At 49.2% G+C, this 17,645-nt stretch overlaps 1 protein-coding gene and 1 pseudogene across 17 annotated transcripts in view; both read right to left on the bottom strand.

Moving 5' to 3' along the window:
• The window catches only part of DRC3 (dynein regulatory complex subunit 3), a 44,077-nt gene that overhangs the window by 3,022 nt on the left and 23,410 nt on the right, over positions 1-17,645 (bottom strand). For 9 of the 17 annotated variants that reach the window (XM_024450964.2, NM_001130090.1, XM_011524018.3 and 6 more), the window contains 4 exons: positions 16,234-16,408; positions 9,374-9,505; positions 7,615-7,685; positions 6,721-6,844 (listed from right to left, as the gene is read on the bottom strand). In XM_024450964.2, coding sequence (XP_024306732.1) covers positions 6,721-6,844; positions 7,615-7,685; positions 9,374-9,505; positions 16,234-16,408 — 502 coding nt within the window. The other 8 variants (XM_011524022.3, NM_001130091.2, NM_001130092.2 and 5 more) reach the window with 6 other exon arrangements.
• LOC100419436 (ribosomal protein S2 pseudogene) lies at positions 2,042-3,224 on the bottom strand (annotated as a pseudogene).

Genomic DNA, 17,645 nt, shown 5'->3' with positions numbered 1-17,645 from the left:
CTATCATGTATAGTGATCAGATCAGGGTATTAGCATATCCGTCTCAAACATTTATCATTTCTTTGTGTTGAGAACATTCAATATCCTCCTTTTAGCTATTTGAAACTATATTATTGTCAACTATAGTCATCCCATAGTGGTATAGAACACTAGAACTTATTCCCCCTATCTAGCTGTAATTTGGTATATCCTTTAACAAATCTCTCCCTATTCCTCCATCTCTCTACCCTTCCCAGTCTCTAGAAGCCTCTGTTCTTGTTTTTACTTCTATGAGATCAACTTTTTTAGCTTCGGCATATGAGTGAGAACATGAGGTGTTTAACTTTCTGTTCCTGGCTTATTTCACTTAACATAATGTCCTCCAGTTCCATCCATGTTGCCATGGATTTCATTCTTTTTTTATGGCTGAATAGTATTCCATTGTGTATAGGTACCACATTTTCTTTATCCAGTCATCTGTTGTTGGACACCTAGGTTGATTCTGTATCTTGTTATTGCGAACAGTGCTGCAGTAAACATGGGTGCAGATATGTTTTCAATATAGTGATTTCCTTTCCTTTAGACAAATGCTCAGTAGTGAGATTGCTGGATCATATGATAGTTCTGTTTGTAGTTTTTGAGGGCCCTCCACAATGTTCTTCCTAGTGGCTGTCCTAGTTTACATTCTTACTTACAGTATATGAGTTCCTTTTTCTTTGCATCCTCACCAGCATTTGTTATTTTTTGTCTTTTTGATAATTATCATCCTAAGTGGGGTGAGATGATGCCTCATTCTGGTTCTTATTTGCATTTCCCTGATAACTAGTGATGCTGAAAAGTTTTTAATGTATTTGTTGGCCATTTGTATGTCTTCTTTTGAGAAACATCTGTTCAGATGTTTTTAATTGAATTGTTTGTTTTTTTGCTATTGAGATGTTAGAGTTCATTGTATATTCTGGATATTAATACCCTGTCAGATAAGTAGTTTGCAAATATTTTGTCACATTGTGTAGGGTGTCTTTTCACTCTGTTGTTTCATTTGCTGTGCAGAAGATTTATAGTTTGATATATTCCATTTATTTTTGCTTTTGTTGTCTGTGCTTTTGAGGTCTTATTCATAAAATTTTTTCCCAGGCCAATGTCCTAAAGCATTTCTCTTGTTTTCTTCTGGTCATTTTATAGTTTCAGGTCTTTTTTTTTTTCTTCTGAGACAAAGTCTGGCTCTATTGCTCAGGCTGGAGTGCAGTGGTGCAATTTCAGCTCACTACAACCTCCACCTCCTGGGCTCAAGCCATCCTCCCACCTCAGCATCCTGAGTAGCTGGGACTATAGGCAGGTACCACCATGCCCAGCTAATTTTTGTATTTTTTATAGAGAGGTGGGTCTTTGCCATGTTGCCCAGGCTGGTCTCCAACTCATGAGCTCCAGCGACCTGTCTGTCTCAGGCTCCCAAAGTGCTGGGATTACAGGCATGAGCCACTGCGCCCTGCCAGTTTCAGGTCTTACATGTAGGTCTTAGATCCATTTTTAGTTGATTTTTGTATAGAGTGAGAGATGGGAATCTAGTTTCATTCTTCTGCATATGGATATCCAGTTTTCCCAGCAAAATCTATTGAAGAGACTGTCTTTTCCCCAGTGAGTGTTCTTGGCGCTTTTGTCAAAAATCAGTTGGCTGTAAATATATAGATTAATTTCTGAGTTCTCTATTCTGTTTCATTGGTTTATGTATCTGTGTTTTTGTTTGTTTTAAACAGGCTTAATTCACTTTATTTTTCTTATATAAAAACCCTGTGTTACTTTGGGAAGCCAAGGTGGGCGGATCACTTGAGGTCAGGAGTTTGAGACCAGCCTGGCCGGCCAACATTGGTAAAACCCCATCTCTACTAAAAATACAAAAAATTAACCAGGCATGGTGGTGTGCGCTTGTAGTCCCAGGTACTCGGGAGGCTGAGGTAGGAGGATCATGTGAACCCAGGTGGTGGAGGTTGCAGTGAGCCAGGACTGCACCACTGCACTCCAGCCTGGGCGATAGAGCAAGGCTCCATCTCAAAACAAAACCCTGTGTTGTAGCCACAGCTGAAGCCTGAGTCCTCCACACAGAGACTCTGGTGTGGGTCTTGACAAGATGGTCAGTGAATTACTGAGAGGAAGACTTGGTGAACACAGTCTCCTCCCAGAGGTCAGGGGGCAGGTAGCTATAGGTCTTGGAGATGGCATCAAAGGTGGCCTTGGCAAAGTTGCCCAGGGTGGCACTGCAGCTCCTGGCTGAGGTGTAGCAGTTGTCAATACTGGACATCAGCAGCATCTTCTTGGGCACAGAGGCCAAGAGGATGCCAGTGCCCCTGGGTGCAGGAATAAGGTGCAGCAGCACAGAGCCGCAGCAGCCTGTCATCTTGCAAGGGACAGTGTGGGGCTTGCAATCTTGGTCCCCCAGTGGCCTCTGCACGGGGACAGTAGAGAGCTTGGTCAGGACAGTGATCCCTCTGACAGCAGTGGCTGCTTCCTTGGAGCACTTAACACCCAGAGTGACACGGCCATTGTAATCCCTGATGGCAACAAACGCCTTGAACCTGCTGCGCTGGCTGGGGCAGGTCTGCTTCTGCACTGGCATAATCTTTAAAACCTCATCCTAGGCCTGGCGTGGCGGCTCACGCCTGTAATCCCAGCACTTTGGGAGGCTGAGGCGGGCAGATTACCTGAGGTCAGGAGTTTGAGACCAGCCTGACCAACATGGAGAAACCCCATCTCTACTAAAAATACAAAATTAGCTGGGCATGGTGGCGCATGCCTGTAATCCCAGCTACTCGGGAGGCTGAGGCAGGAGAATCACTTGAACCTGGGAGGTGGAGATTGTCGTGAGCCAAGATCATGCCATTGCACTCCAGCCTGGGCAAAAAAGCAAAATTCCGTCTCAAAAACAAACAAACAAACAAACAAACAAAAAAAAAACCTCATCCTTGAGAGAGGCCCCCAGGAAAAAGTCAATGATCTCAGACTACTTGATGGGCGGGGAGAAGAGATAGATCTCTTCCAGGGACTTGATCTTCATGTCCTTGACCAGGCAGCCCAGCTTGGTGATGGGCATCCACTCCTTTGCCTGGACCTTGCCTCTGAGAGCTCCCCGCAGCCTCAGCCCCTGCCCTGACTATGGCCACAATCCTAGCCCCAGAAGCTGCTGACAAAGCTTCCATGGTTTCCCATTCCAGGCTTCTGGGCCCTCCTGCTGCCATAGTGTCATCTACCATTTGGTGTTTTCTTGGAGAAATGTGTGTCTGTTTTATGCCAGTACCATGCTGTTTTGGTTACTACAACTTTGTAGTATATTTTGAAGTCTGGTAATGTGATGCCTCCAGCGTTGTTCTTTTTGCTCAGGATGGCTTTGGCTCTTCAAGGTCTTTTGTGATTCTAAATTGTAGGATTTTTTTTCTATTTCTGCGAAGAATGTCATTGGTGTTTTGATGGGGATTGCATTGAATCTGTAGGTTGCTTTGGGTAGCAACAAAGTGACTTTTGAGAAGGCAACAGCTGGTGCCCCTCCCCAGGACCACCGCACTGCTAGTGGCTTGAGGACTTGCTGCCCCATGGCATGTGGGATCAGATCATTCCATCATACCCACAAAGGGCACCTGACAACCCTGCATTCTCCTCTGCCACAGACAAATGAGCAGCTTGGCTTGATGGGCAGGGACAAGCCAACGCGGAGTCTCCTGGTGCCAGCCAGAATCTTGTGGCAGTCTCCCTGTCCAGAGACTGCTGGCTTGGGTCAGACCCACTGCCACTTGAGCAGACCCTGGGGACTTGCATCCTCCCTGGGCCTGAGCACTCACCCTGCCCTCGCAGCCGGATACCCGCGTGGATGTTCAGAGCAGCCAGGCAGCACCTCTGTCCTCCCCACCTCCCTAAATGGGCAGCTGTGGCTGCCAGCACCACTCAGATGCCCTCCCTCAGTGCCAGCTCCAGGCTCTCTCCTCAGCATGTACGTTCTGCTTTTCCTCTCAAAGCTGGAAGGACTTGAAAATAGATATGGGACAGATTGGCCCCATGTAGGTCATGAGCTGATAACAGTCACTCAACTGCATGAGTGGAGTTTTAGAGATAACCTCATCAGGGTGACTTATCAAGATATGCTCCTTGATAATTAGGTAACAGAAGCCAGGTTTTTTTCACCCACAGCCCTAGTCCCTCCTCTGAACATCCCCATCTTGCTATACAGTAGACATTTTGTCAAAGGCTTTCAATCAAACTGCCTGGTTCAAATCACAACCCTATCTGTTATAAGCTGTGTGTCCTTGGGCAGGTTACCTTCATCTCTGTGCCTCAGTTTCCTCATCTGTAAAAGGGAACCATAATAGTACCTACTTTTCCGTGTTGATGTGAAGATTAAAAAAGCAAACATGAGTTCAGTGCTTCCCAGAGGGCTGGCCCTCAGGAGGCCCCCAGTCAAATGTCAGCGATGTATTATTCCTTTATTTTATTTTATTTTTTTGAGACAGGGTCTTGCTCTGTCACCCAGACTGGAGTGCAGTGGCACAGTCATGGCTCACCTTGACTTCCCAGGCTCAAGTAATCCTCCAACCTCAGTCTCCCAAGTAGCTGGGACCACCAGGTGCGCATCACCTAATTTTTAAATTATTATTTGTAGAGAGGGGGTCTCGCTATGTTACCCAGGCTGGTCTCAAATTCCAGGGCTGAAGCAATCCTTCCACCTCAGCCTTTCAAAGTGATGTTGGTATTACTCATATAGTCAGAGCATACTTTTTCCTCCTGAGAAGGGTAGGTCACATTTTTTGTTGCTTAGATGGAAGGAGACTTAGGCCATGGTATAAGGTCCTGGGGAGTCTCTTCCTATAACTGCAGGCGTAAAGCCACAGGAATGGTGGTCAGCTGGCACCAGGCAGAGCCAGCTGGGCTGGAGGGAGGGCTGGCCACTGAAAATGCCAGCCCAGCCTGCTTCTCTGCTGTTGGCCTCTGGATTCATCTTTTTCTGTGTGTCCTAGTCATTAGAAATTGGGCACGTTTCAGTCCTGTGCCTTCTGGGTGTCACAGACATGGGAGCTGTGCTGGGAGGGATCTCCACCCACCCCAAGATGGTCTGTCTGGGGAATTCCAAACTGGGCACTCAGGGACAGCCTTACTTCACAGGGAAGGTGGTGTTTTCCTGTGTCTGGTCAATAGCAATTAGCTGCAGTTATCAGCTTAGGGAGGGAAGGCTGGTGTCACGGTGACCCTATCACCACACTGCTATGTTGGGTGTCTGTCTGGGCCCCAGGACAGAGGCTGTGGAAGTCAGGGACTGCTGGTCCTGTGTGTCTGCAAGACTTAGCCCCATATCTGGCAGAGTGGAGGCTTGGTGAGCATACGCTCTCACACTCATTCTGCAGATGATGCCTGGCATCTGTGCTGCATGTTGTACACTGTTGCTGGTACTGAGGGGGTACATGGTGGTGAAAAGGCCATCCCCGTCCTCCCTCCTGAGCTTACATGTAGTGTGAATAGTCACATCAGCAGCAAATACACATCAGCCAGGTAGTTTGAAACTATGATGAGGCTCTGACCTGACCTGATAAATGGGGCATGTGATACAGAGACAGTGGTTTTTCTGGAAGTTGATGAAGAAAGGCCTCTCCCAAGAGCTGATAGTCAAGCTGAAATCTGAATGACAAGGACAAGCCAGGCACATGGGGACCTAGGAAGAGCGTGTCTGCCAGGTGGAATATCAACTGAAAGGAGCAAGCCTGGGTGACTGGGGAAGAGCTCAGAGGCTGCCGCTGAGCATCAGGAGTGAGGGTTCTGGGGGTGGGAATCGCCCAGATGGGCAGGGTCAGCCCGAGGGTCTGGGGGACTATGGGGAGGAGCTGACGCTAGGGGTCATGAAAGCCACTAGAAGGTGTTGTGTAAAAGTGTGCAGTGATAGGGTTTGGGTTTTCAAGGGTCCCTCTGGCTGCCACATGGAGGACGGACTGTAAGAGGACAGTAAAGAGGCAAGCAGTCCAGGCCAAGGACGATGGTGGCTTGCCTTGGTGGTGATGTCGCGACAGAGAGAAGCTGAGAAACTGGCAGTGGAGTGAATGATGCATGCACTAAAGCAGGCCCTGACAACATAGTATCTCTGTCTGGGCCCTGACAACATAGTATCTCTGTCTGGGCCCTTGATGCCCACACTCCTTCCAGAGACATAGACATGCTGCCGCGGGACCCAGCGCAGACATCCGGGAGAGCCTTCTTAGCGTGCAGACCCCAGGGATGGAGCCAGGTTCCTCAGGCCGACCCTGCTGATTTTGTGACCATTCATCAGTGGATGTGCTGGTGCAAACCGGATGGCATTGTGCAGGATCAGAAATGGTGGTTCCAACACCCCCACAGTACTCATTATACAGACTCTAAGGTTAAGAAGACCTCCAGGGGAAATCTCAGACTTCAACCTCTACCTGTAACTGCTTCTCTTAGAAAGTGCCAGAAGCCTCCACATAATTGAACTTTTGGAAACGACCCTGTTGGAAAGTTGAAACCATCTAATTATCATGAGCTCCTCTTTAACTGGGCCCCACTGGGTGCCCCACCAGGTGCTTTGTTAGCCTATTTTATCTGCCAGCAACCCTGTAAAGCAGGTTAGTGTGCCCTTTTGCAGATGAGAACACTGAGGCTCTGGGAGGTTGTCAGGCTTACTCACAGAGCCTCAGTCCAGCCACAGAGCTGGGCTGGACCACATCTGTCAGGCTCCGAGCAGCCCGCCCCGCCTACCGCGCGCAGGTCGTTAGGCAGGTCCTCGTCCAGGTCGCCCTCGACAATCTTCTCCAGGGTGCTGATAGAGATCTCCAGGAGCTTCTCGTGGTGGTGATTCTCCAGGTCCCGGCACTGAGCCATCGTGCAGCCCCGAGTTAAGCAAAGGCCCGGGAGGAGCAGGCCCGGCGCGTCCCTGATGCTCTCAGACGGCGGGAGACAGACTTTAAGGGCCCAAGGCGAGCTCGGAAATTCTGGCTGGCAGCACCGTCCACTCACAAGCTCCGAACCCTGGGCCTTCCTCGACTCCCTGCCCCTGCCCCACACCTCGGACGGACCCTCGGCCCCTGCCATCACACTCTTCTCTCCCTCCTGCATGGAGGCTCCTGGCCTCTGGGTTAACTGCTTCTCACCCTGTGCATTTGGCACCACTTGTTGCCTCTACAACTTGTCTCCCTGAGGGACTGTGAGCCCCAGGAGGGCAGGACCACAGGGCTGCTGCTAGCTGGAGCACAGCAGTTTGCCCCATGTGGAGTGCCCTGAGTTCGGGTGGAAGAAGGGTTGGCCATGCTCCGATGTTGGCTCCTCACCCTAACATTTCACCTGATGTACTCCTTATAGTGTCTTCCACGTGGGGGTTGCCTCAACCCCAGAGTGTGCTTGCCTGCAACACAGGGGGCGTCATTTCCTAGTGAACATCACTCATATGAGAACAATCATGCTGGGAGCCTACTGCAAACAGTTTGGATGTTGTCCCTCTGGGCATCCAAACCACAGCTCTAACCAGGCCATCATTGTTCTGAGGGTCGGGAAACCTCCTCAGACCCTGTGGAACATTCTTTTGTCCAGAGGCCGGGACAAGCCCAGGGGCTCTGTAGCACCTCCCCATGGGGAAGGTCATCACAGAAAGGATATAGGCTTTGGACATTTTCGATAAACAGTCCTACCATGTCAACAATGTTCCTTTCAAACATGTTTATAGTCTCCTGGAAATGTTAAAGAACACAGTTAACATGCATATTTAGATGTCCAGCACAGAGCAAAAGGTACTCCTCAAAATTTAGCAACCAGCTCCTCTAATCACAGACCTTCAGCATAAAGACCACCCATCTTGACCCTCCTGAGCAGATGGTTGTGAACTGACCCCTCTGCTCTCTCTAAAGTTGTTGTTCTCCAACCATATTAACTCCCTCACCATCTGAATGTTTAATGCTGTCACCGGAACTTTGCCAGGAACACTTGTCCTGGTCTTACTCCCCTTACCTGCCTGCCCAACACACACACACACAGCCAACCCCCTCTCCTTTGGGTTTCCCAGTGACATCTGTGCATCACCTCCAGGGAAACAGTGGAGTGAGCTGTTAAGAGCTAGACTGCCTGGGTCAGTATTCCCAGCTCCAGCACTCTGTGTAACTCTGGGAAAGGCATTTCACCTCCTTGGGCCTTATCTTCCTCATCTGGGAAATAGGTTACCTGCATAATCCCTGCGTTGTGGCGTTGTGGTGAGGTTAAATGAGTCACTTCACACAAAATGCTTTGCAAGGTGCCTGACAGAGAGGAGGCCCTCAGTAGGAGCGGGCTGGCACTCCAGATCTCTTTCAGTTAGTTGCTGTTTTGTGGTGCTTAGCAAGGCACCTAAGGCCCAAATGGGAGTTAGTGTTGATTGAAGGAACAATGGAAGATGTGATCTCCAGGCCTGCCACTCTCGGAGTGCCCCACTCCCATCTGCTATAGACTCCAGGGGCTGCAAGGTGGGCAGGGGTGGAATCTATAGGAATGTGAGTACTGTCTGCAGAGTGAGCACCTCACATAATTTTCAAACACATGTATGTGCTGTTCTCGTGAATAAAAATAGGGTCATTGAAAAGCATGATTGCGCTTGTGGCTTTCTGGCCACCAGTAATACAAGTAGGATGGCACATGGGTTCTGGGAAATGTTTGGATGTTGAAAGGCAATCTCCGTGCCTGAAAAGGCTGGGAGCTGCTGCCTCACTCGCCCCTGGCACTGTGCGCTGCTTCTGCAGTGCCTGTGCTCTCCAGCAGGGAGGGAGCACCTGCCCTGTGATGTGATGGGGAAATCTATCCCATGTCTGAGGTGTCACTTGACGTGTGAGGAATTGATTAGGTGCTATCACTTGGCCCAGCCACAGCAGCATCCGATGAGGTTCAATTCATCACACCACTTCAGACTCCCAGCCTCCGCTGCCTTGTAACACATACTCTGGCTGCTAATGAATTTCAGACAGCGGCGCTTTTCATTTTCACTACTTAGTGCTGAGTTGCAGCCTCCTCACGTCACCTGAGAAGCGGCAACTGCAGGCTGCAATGCGGAGGGGTCTTTGTTTGGTCCCCAAGTGGGGGTGCGCTTTGCCTTTAGAGTACCCGGATAGCTCCAGGGGTCTAATCAAAAACCTCTCCCCACTGACTTCCAGGATAGGGGGACCATTTCAGAAGAATGAGCTCACCTCTCATTTTCCACAAGAATCACTTCCAATGTAAATGATTAAAATGTAATAAAAGCAAACAGGACTGATGAGCAAGAAAGCTACAGCCTGCCACGCTGAGTCGTGCTGGACGTTTCCAGCAGAGGCGTGCCCATGAAGGCTACAGTTCACCTATGGATGTGCAGCTGCATCGCCAGATTCTGGCACTTGTGCCCAGGGCCCAGCCTTACCTCCAGCTGCTCCACCAGCTGCATCTCCAGCGTCATGAGCGCATCGAACAACTCACTGATGTCAGCACTGCATTCTAGGATCATCTTCTCAATGTTGGGCAGTTCCAACTCCTCTCGAATGGCACTTAAACTCTAGAAACAATAGACTGCACTTTAGGAATCAACAACTAAGTGTAATTAGATAATGGCAGGTGGCAATTTGGTTTTGTGGGTAAGAATTTGGACTCGAGTCAGCCTGCCCAAGTGCAAGTCTCAGCTTTGCCATTTGCTGGCTCTGAAAGCGTGTAGAAGCTACCTACCCTCTCCATGCCTCAGTTTCCTGGTCTGTAAAGTGCGATTGATAGCCCCTACCCTTGACACAAGTGAGAGAACACATGTGAGGCTCTTTGAGCACTAGCAAGTGCTCACTCCCTGTAAGCTCAGGTTTTTATTAGAGGCTGGTAGGCAGGGTAGAAGGAGCCATGGCTTTCATGGGGTTCAGAGCATTTCACACCAAAATATGCCGCTTTGGCATAGTGATTATTTTGAGTTAAAGATACTTAAAGGCCGGGAGCAGTGGCTTATGCCTGTAATCCCAGCACTTTGGGAGGCCGAGGTGGGTGGATCATGAGGTCAGGAGATTGAGACCATCCTGGCTATCACAGTGAAACCCCATCTATACTAAAAATACAAAAAAAAAAAAAAATTAGCCAGGCATGGTGGCGGGTGCCTGTAGTCCCAGCTACTTGGGAGGCTGAGGCAGGAGAATGGCGTGAACCTGGGAGGTGGGGCTTGCAGTGAGCCGAGATTGTGCCACTGCACTCCAGCCTGGGCGACAGAGTGAGACTCTGTCTCAAAAAAAAAAAAAAAAAAAAAAAGATACTTAAAAACAGAAAATGCAAAGAGGACACCCTGACCTCCCTTTTTCTTCCTGAAAGCAGAAGTTAAATCTCCCATGGGAAAGGTGCCCTCCCTGTACCAGGAGGAAAGAAACCATTCTTTTTTTTTTTTTTTTTTTTTTTTTTTTTTTTAAAGACGTAGTCTCACTCTGTCACCCAGGCTGGAGTGCAGTGGTACGATCTCGGTCACTGCAACCTCTGCCTCCTGAGTTCAAGCAATTCTCTGCCTCAGTCTCCTGAGTAGCTAGGATTACAGGCACCTGCCATTATGACCGGCTAATTTTTTTTGTATTTTTAGTAGAGACGGGGTTTCACCATCTTGGCCAGGCTGGTCTTGAACTCCTGACCTCATGATCCACCCACCTCGGCCTCCCAGAGTGCTGAGATTACAGGTGTGAGCCACTGTGCCCAGCCAAGAAGCCATTCTTATCATCAGAGGGAGGGAGTCCGGGCCAAGGGGAATCTGTGTGAACAAACCTTGTTAAACTAACGCTCATCTGCCTTGTCACTTCTCCACGATGAACTGCCTTAGCCCAAACCTCTTTGTCTTGTCACGTTCTCACAATTCACTACTCTCTGTCCAACTAAGTATATAAGCTTTCGGCCCTAACGGCTTCTTGAGCCTTCATTTTGCTTGTGAATGCTCCCATGTACATGTACAAATTACTCAATAAAATTTGTATGCTTTTCTCGTTTGTCTTATGTCAGTTTAATTCTTGGTCCCAGTCAGTGACCCTGATAAGCTAGAGGAAAAAATTTACCTGCCTTACAACTTCAGAGTTAGGTGAACCTGAATTTGAATCCTGCCTGGGTCACTTAACAGTGTGACCTTGAGAGACCCACTTTCATTCGCTGACTCAGTTTCCTCACTGTAAATGGGGAGAAGCATCTCTGCCTCACGGGGTCCTGGGGATCAGAGGCCGTGTACAGGAAGCACCTGGTGCACAGTGGAGCTCGGCTACCGGAGTCTCCTATAAAAGGCCTATCACAGGCACAGGCCAGGAAAGACCCTGGCAAGGAAAGACAGTTCCAGTCTTTGAGGAGATGAATTGAACCCACACAGAACCCCAGTGAGCAAGTGGAAGCTACTGCTAAATAGATGCTGAGCCCTTTGGAATGAGGGGGTGCTCAGAGGGTATATGGCAACCTGGGGTCCAAACAGCACTGACTACCAGCTGCTTACTAGCAAAGGGCCTGGGTTACCACCAACACCAGATGTGATTTTGGCTTGTTTTTGTTGATGCCTGGTATTAGTCATGAAGGAGGATGGAGTAACAGCATGATTGAAGGGGGCGAATGACATAATAATAGCTACCCTGTCTGGAGAAAAACCAGGCTCGATCCCTACCTCAAGCCTTACATGAAAACAAATTCCTGATGAAGATTCAAATGTAAAAAATTAAACCATAAAAGTGCTAGCAGAAAACCTGGGAGATTTTTTTTTTCTTTGAGACAGAGTCTCACACTGTCACCCAGGCTGGAGTGCAGTGACGTGATCTTGGTTCACTGCAACCTCTGTCTCCCAGTTTCCAGCGATTCTCTCGCCTCAGCTTCCCAAGTAGCTGGGATTATAGGTGCCTGCCACCATGCCCAGTGAATTTTTGCATTTTTAGTAGAGATGGGGTTTCACCATGTTGGCAAGGCTGGTCTCAAACTCCCGGCCCTCAGGTGACCCGCCCGCCTTGGTCTCCCAAAGTGCTGGGATTACATGCATAAGCCACTGCGTCCGGCCAAACCTGGGAGATTTTTAACAAATAATCTGAGATCTTGCCAAATATAACCAGAAGATTGGTAAACTCTACTACCTTAAAAATTTTTTAATTCTTTTAAATTTATTTATGTATTTACTTTTAAGATGGGGTCTTACTATGTTGCCCAGGCTGCTCTCAAACTGCTGGGCTCAAGCGATCTTCCTGCCACAGCTTCCCGAAGTGCTGGGATTACAGTTGTGAACCACCTCCCCCAGCCAAAAAAATTTTTCATTCTGAATGGCAAAAGCACCACAGACAACATTGCAAGATAAAACACAAACCGGGAAAAATATTTGCCATTCATTTCACTGACACAATCTACAAAGAGCTCCTACAAAGTAATAACATTTTTTTTCTTTTTTTGAGACAGACTCTCACTCTATTGCCCAGGCTGGAATGCAGTGGCATGATCTTGGCCCACTGCAACCTCCACCTCCTGGGTTCAAGTGATTCTCCTGCCTCAGCCTCCCAAGTAGCTGGGATTACAGGCATGCATCACCACCCTGGCTAACTTTTGTATTTTTAGTAGAGACGGGGTTTCACCATGTTGTCCAGGCTGCTCTCGAACTCCTGACCTCAGGTGATCCACCCACCTTGGCCTCCGAAAGTGCTGAGATTACAGACGTGAGCTACCACGCCCAGCCAGGTAATAACTTTTTAAAAAAGAAAGGTCTGGTCTGATGGTAGTAGGTTATGAGAACTTATTAAATTTGGTGTCACTGAAGTTGGTATACAGTCTCCCACTGCTAAATTTGACTAGCTAAAAAAAAAAAAGAAAGAAAAAGAAAAAAAGAAAGAAACAGCCAGGTGTGGTGTTGTGTTCCTGTAGTCCCAGCTACTCAGGAGGCTGAGGCACGAGGATTGCTTGAGCCCAGGAGTTCAAGGCTGCAGTGAGCTATAATGGTGCACTGCACTCCAACCTGGGCAATGGAGTTAGACCCTATTCTGAAAATAATAATAATAAATAATTTAAGAAGAGAGAGAGAAACCAAAAACCAAATAGAAAAGTGGGCAAGGGCAAAATATAAGTACAAATAATTCACAGAATAAAAAACACAAATGGTTGTAAAACATGTAAAACGTGTTGCTCATCCCCACTTAAGAGAAAATAAATGCATACTCAGGGTGCACAGATTGGCAAACATGAGGAAGCCTGTGACACTGGCCTGATGACGGCTGTGGAAGGTACAGGTTCTGTAGGTTACAGTTGGACAATAACCATGAAAAAAACCAATGCACAGTTCCACTTCTAGGACTTCATCCTGCAGGTCAAACTTGCACCAACTTATTCAGTGGAACACTAAAAGAGCAAAAGGTTGGGAAAAAACCTAACTGTCCATCAACAGGGACTGGCTAAATAATTATGGCTCACCCATGCAATGCGATATTTTAGCTATAAAAAAAAGAAGCTACTTTTTCATTTTGGAAGGCTCTCCAAGATGCATAATATAGGAAAGCAAAGTACAGAACAAGGCATGCTATGCACACACACACACACACACACACACTCACGTGAAAGCAAAGTACAGAACAGGGCATGCTATGCGCGCACACACACACACACACGAAAGCAAAGTACAGAGCAAGGCATGCTATGCACACACACACACACACACACTCACGTGAAAGCAAAGTACAGAACGGCATGCTATGCACACACACACACACACAGAGGAAAGCAAAGTACAGAACAGGGCATGCTATGCATACATGTACACACACATAGGAAAGCAAAGTACAGAACAAGGCATGCTATGCTCACACACACACACACACACACACACACACGAAAGCAAAGTACAAAACAGGGCATGCTATGCATACACGCACACACACATAGGAAAGCAAAGTACAGAACAGGGCATGCTATGCTCACACACACACACGAAAGCAAAGTACAGAATAGGGCATGCTATGTGCGCGTGTGCACGCACGCACACACACACACACAGAGATACAGGAGTAGGAGGGAGACCGTATCCCCCAGTGGCCATTCTTCAGGCTGTGCCATGTGCACACACTACTCATTCGAGAGTGCAGCTGACTACACACAGACATGCTGTCATCCTTTTGGGCTGACTCTGCTCCAGGCCTTGCACAAGTGCTTTCCCTCTCTGTTTCTCACTACAGTTCTTCAAGGTGGTTATCTCTGTTCTGCAAATGAGGAAATGGAGGCTAGGAGAGGGTCAATAATGTGTCTCTGGGTCACCAGTGAGGAGTCTGCCTGAGCCCCAAGCCTTACATGGCTGCAGCATGACCCTGAAACGTGACTCACTGGGCACCTGGAGCAGTGCACTGTGTGCAATGGATGAGGCCTAATGGGGATGAGTGGGAGGAGCGTAGGAAAACCTATAGGAGAGGGCCTGTCAGGGAGGGAACTGGAGGTCTGCAGGGCCTATGGGGTCTTGGGAACTTCCAAGTCAGTGGCCTCTATCCAGGCTGTGCATGGAAAGCACCCAGGGAACAATGGAAAATCCCTGTGCCAGGCCACAGGGTGCTGCTGGGCCTGAATGTGAGCACATTTCCAGGGCCCAGGGACTCCGCATGCAGGCTGAGCAGGATCCACTGCTCTTGGCTCTAGAAGGGGAGCACTAGGATGGTCAGCTCGTCCGAGGTGGCCTTTGAGGAGCTGGCCCGCAATGAAGGCAGGTGCCTGAACGGAGGAGCAAGTGGCACGTTCCATGTTCCAAGTCAGGCTTGGCATGGCCCATATCCTGCTTCTGCAGAGGGACTCGCTGCTGAGGGGCTGGGTCCCTGCACCAGGCCTCAGGAAGAGCCAGCTAGCTGACACTCCCAAGCCCAGTGGCTACAGGGACCAGATAAATATCAGGAAGGAAGGCTGGACAGGGACTGCGGGACTGGAGACATGACCTGTCCAGAGGGGACAACTGCCACTCAAGCCCTGATGACAGTTGCTTCCAGAGAAGCTGGCAACCACAATTTTTTCTGTGAAATCTGCTAGTTTCTAATGTCAGCAGGATGTTCGAAATGTTTTAAAACCCTATTCAGGCCACATAAAACACATATGTGAGCCAAATGTATTCCTCTGCTGACAGTTTTGAACTTCTGGTTGAATGCAGTAACCCCTGCTCCCTAAAATATAACAAGGAGGGTCTTGAGAATTAAATCGCACAACATGTGAGGCCCTGGAGGTTAATGAGACAGGAATGGGGGTGGCCGTTGGGGAGGCGGGAAGCACATGGGAGTGGATCACCAACTCCATCAGATCTGAAGTTGCGCATCGAGGGACTTTGCTCTACTTTAAGTTCACAACAAGGAAGGGCCTTAAGTTCACAACAAGGATGGGCTCCCTAAAGCCCCTTATGCTACAAGCAAGCTTGGTGTGTGTGAACAGTTTTTTGAGGAAAAAGAAGGTCCACAGCTTTCCTTAGCATCTCACAAAGATCTGTGATTTACAACAGGCTAAGCATCCTGTCTTTAAAAGTAATGCCAACTCAAAGAGGCAGTTGCCATCAAATACAAAGATTGGTGCCCTTCCCAATGGCCCCTGCTTGGGCTGGACCCCATGGCCTGGTTAGGCTGAGTCCTGACCACCCAGAGTCTTCTCCTTTGCTGCTCCTAGTGGGTGGAGGAACGCCCTTCCTCCCCATCAACTTTTCTTTCTTCTGTGAGCCTCAGCCTTCCCTAAACTCCCCAGCCTGAGATAAGGCGCCCCTAGGGCACCCCCAAGGCTCCCCAGGCTTCCCTCCAGGATGGCACTGATCCCTCTGCTTGCTCAGGTGAGGGGTGGGGCCTGGGCCTGGGTCTGAGCCCCACAAGGGCAGGAACCATGTCCAGTGTGGCTCTAGCTTCTTAGGATCAGGCAGAGAGTAGAGCTCAGAAAATGTCTATTAAATGAATGAATGAATAAAAGGATGGTAATCATTACTGTCAAAATAGTAATGGTCATACTAATACTGTTATTAATAGTAACGATGATGATAAGTTGGGGGGTAGGGCCGACCTTGAATCCCAAGGGCACTTTGTGTGACAAAGACCCACAGGCCACACGTCAAGCAGTGGGGAGCTGTGGTTGGTGGTGCTGGTGTAAGGCGGGCCTTGGCTCTGCCACTGATTAGCTGTATGATCTCTGGCAAATGGGGACAATAACCATTGGCCTCAGGGGTCATCAGAGGGTACAGGAGTTGCAGTCCCCCTACAGTGGGAGTGGCAAGAGCAGGGAGGGCCTACAGCAGGAGACAGGGAGGGCCTCAGGAGGCTCGGGGCCTACCGACAAGTGCTTCTCCTCGAATTTGGCAATCTTGCGTTTGCCCTGCTCCTGGTTTTCCTGGATGGCCTCACGGACACATTCACTGAAGGTGTCAAGCTCTGTTTTCCGCTTCTCCTGCTGTTTCAGGCCATACTCAAAAATATTCACGCAGATGATGACAAACTTGTCCTTGTAGGTGAGTGGCTGTTAAGGAAGCCCACAGCTGTTTCAGGAGCAGGCTGCGGAGGGCACGGCCAAGGTGTTGGTAACCCTGGCACAGTGCACAGACTGTGCGCTCAACAGTGTGTGAGACTCAAACTCCTGGTCTCATTTGGTTCATTTGGTGGATGAAGAAATCAAAGGCCCAGAGAGCCAGGATTGAGATGTAGGTAAAATGTGTGTTTGGTGCATCCCCACCCTCAGCCTGAGGGATTCAGGAATGGGGCCTGTGTGAAGGAAGGAGGCAGAAACCATTGCGGAGTCTACAGAGCAGAAGGCAGACATGCTCAGAGAGGCCCCAGAAGAGAGGCCTGGGGACCCTGGGGGCCTGCGAGCCGGTCCCAGCTGGGGAAGCAGGCAGTGTGCGTTTCTGTCTCTGGTGTGCTATCTGGAAGGGCACCCTTACTGAGGGCCTGTCTTGGTGCTCAGCTGCTGTAGCTGTGCTGGGGATGTTCAAGTCCTGGCTCTGCCACTGCTTCCAGGACCCACCCTGGCAAGTCACTTCACCTCTCTGGGCCTCAGTTTCCTCATCTGCAGCTGAGGGTACAAAAGGGCCTGCGACACGGAGTCCTTGGAGTCAACCAGGTAAAGCCTACAGGACCTTGGTGATCCTGTGGGATGGAAACTGATGCCCAGAGAGATGAAATGCCTTGCCCAAAGTCACACGGCTACACAGGGCTACAGCCAAGGCAAACCTGGGTCACCAGCTGGCAGAAACAACCCAGCTCTGGAGCCCTGCTCTTCACTATTCCTCACCACCCTGCCCTCATTCTTTCCAGAATGTCAGGTGTGTTTGGTTTTTTTTAGAGATGGTGATATGGTTTGGCTGTGTCTCCACCCAAACTCATCTTGAATTGTAACTCCCATAATTCCCATGTGTTGTGGGAGGAACCCGGTGGGGGGTAATTGAATTATGGGGGTGAGTCTTTCCTGTGCTGTTCTCATGATAGTGAATGAGTCTCATGAGATCTGATGGTTTTAAATATGGGAGTTTCCCTGCACAGGCTTTCTTTCTTTGCCCACTGCCCATGTAAGATGTGACTTGCTCCTCCTTGCCTTCTGCCATGATTGTGAGGCCTCCCCAGCCATGTAGAACTGTAAGTTCAATTAAACCTCTTTCTGGCTGGGCACGGTGGCTCACGCCTGTAATCCCAACACTTTGGAAGGCCGAGGCAGATCACCTGAGGTCAGGAGTTTGAGACCAGCCTGACCAA

This window comes from Homo sapiens, chromosome 17 (assembly GCF_000001405.40).
Source record: "Homo sapiens chromosome 17, GRCh38.p14 Primary Assembly".
Taxonomy (NCBI): Eukaryota; Metazoa; Chordata; class Mammalia; order Primates; family Hominidae; genus Homo; species Homo sapiens.
The sequence above is the reverse complement of the archived record's forward strand: the minus strand, read 5'-3'. Positions and strand labels throughout refer to the sequence as shown.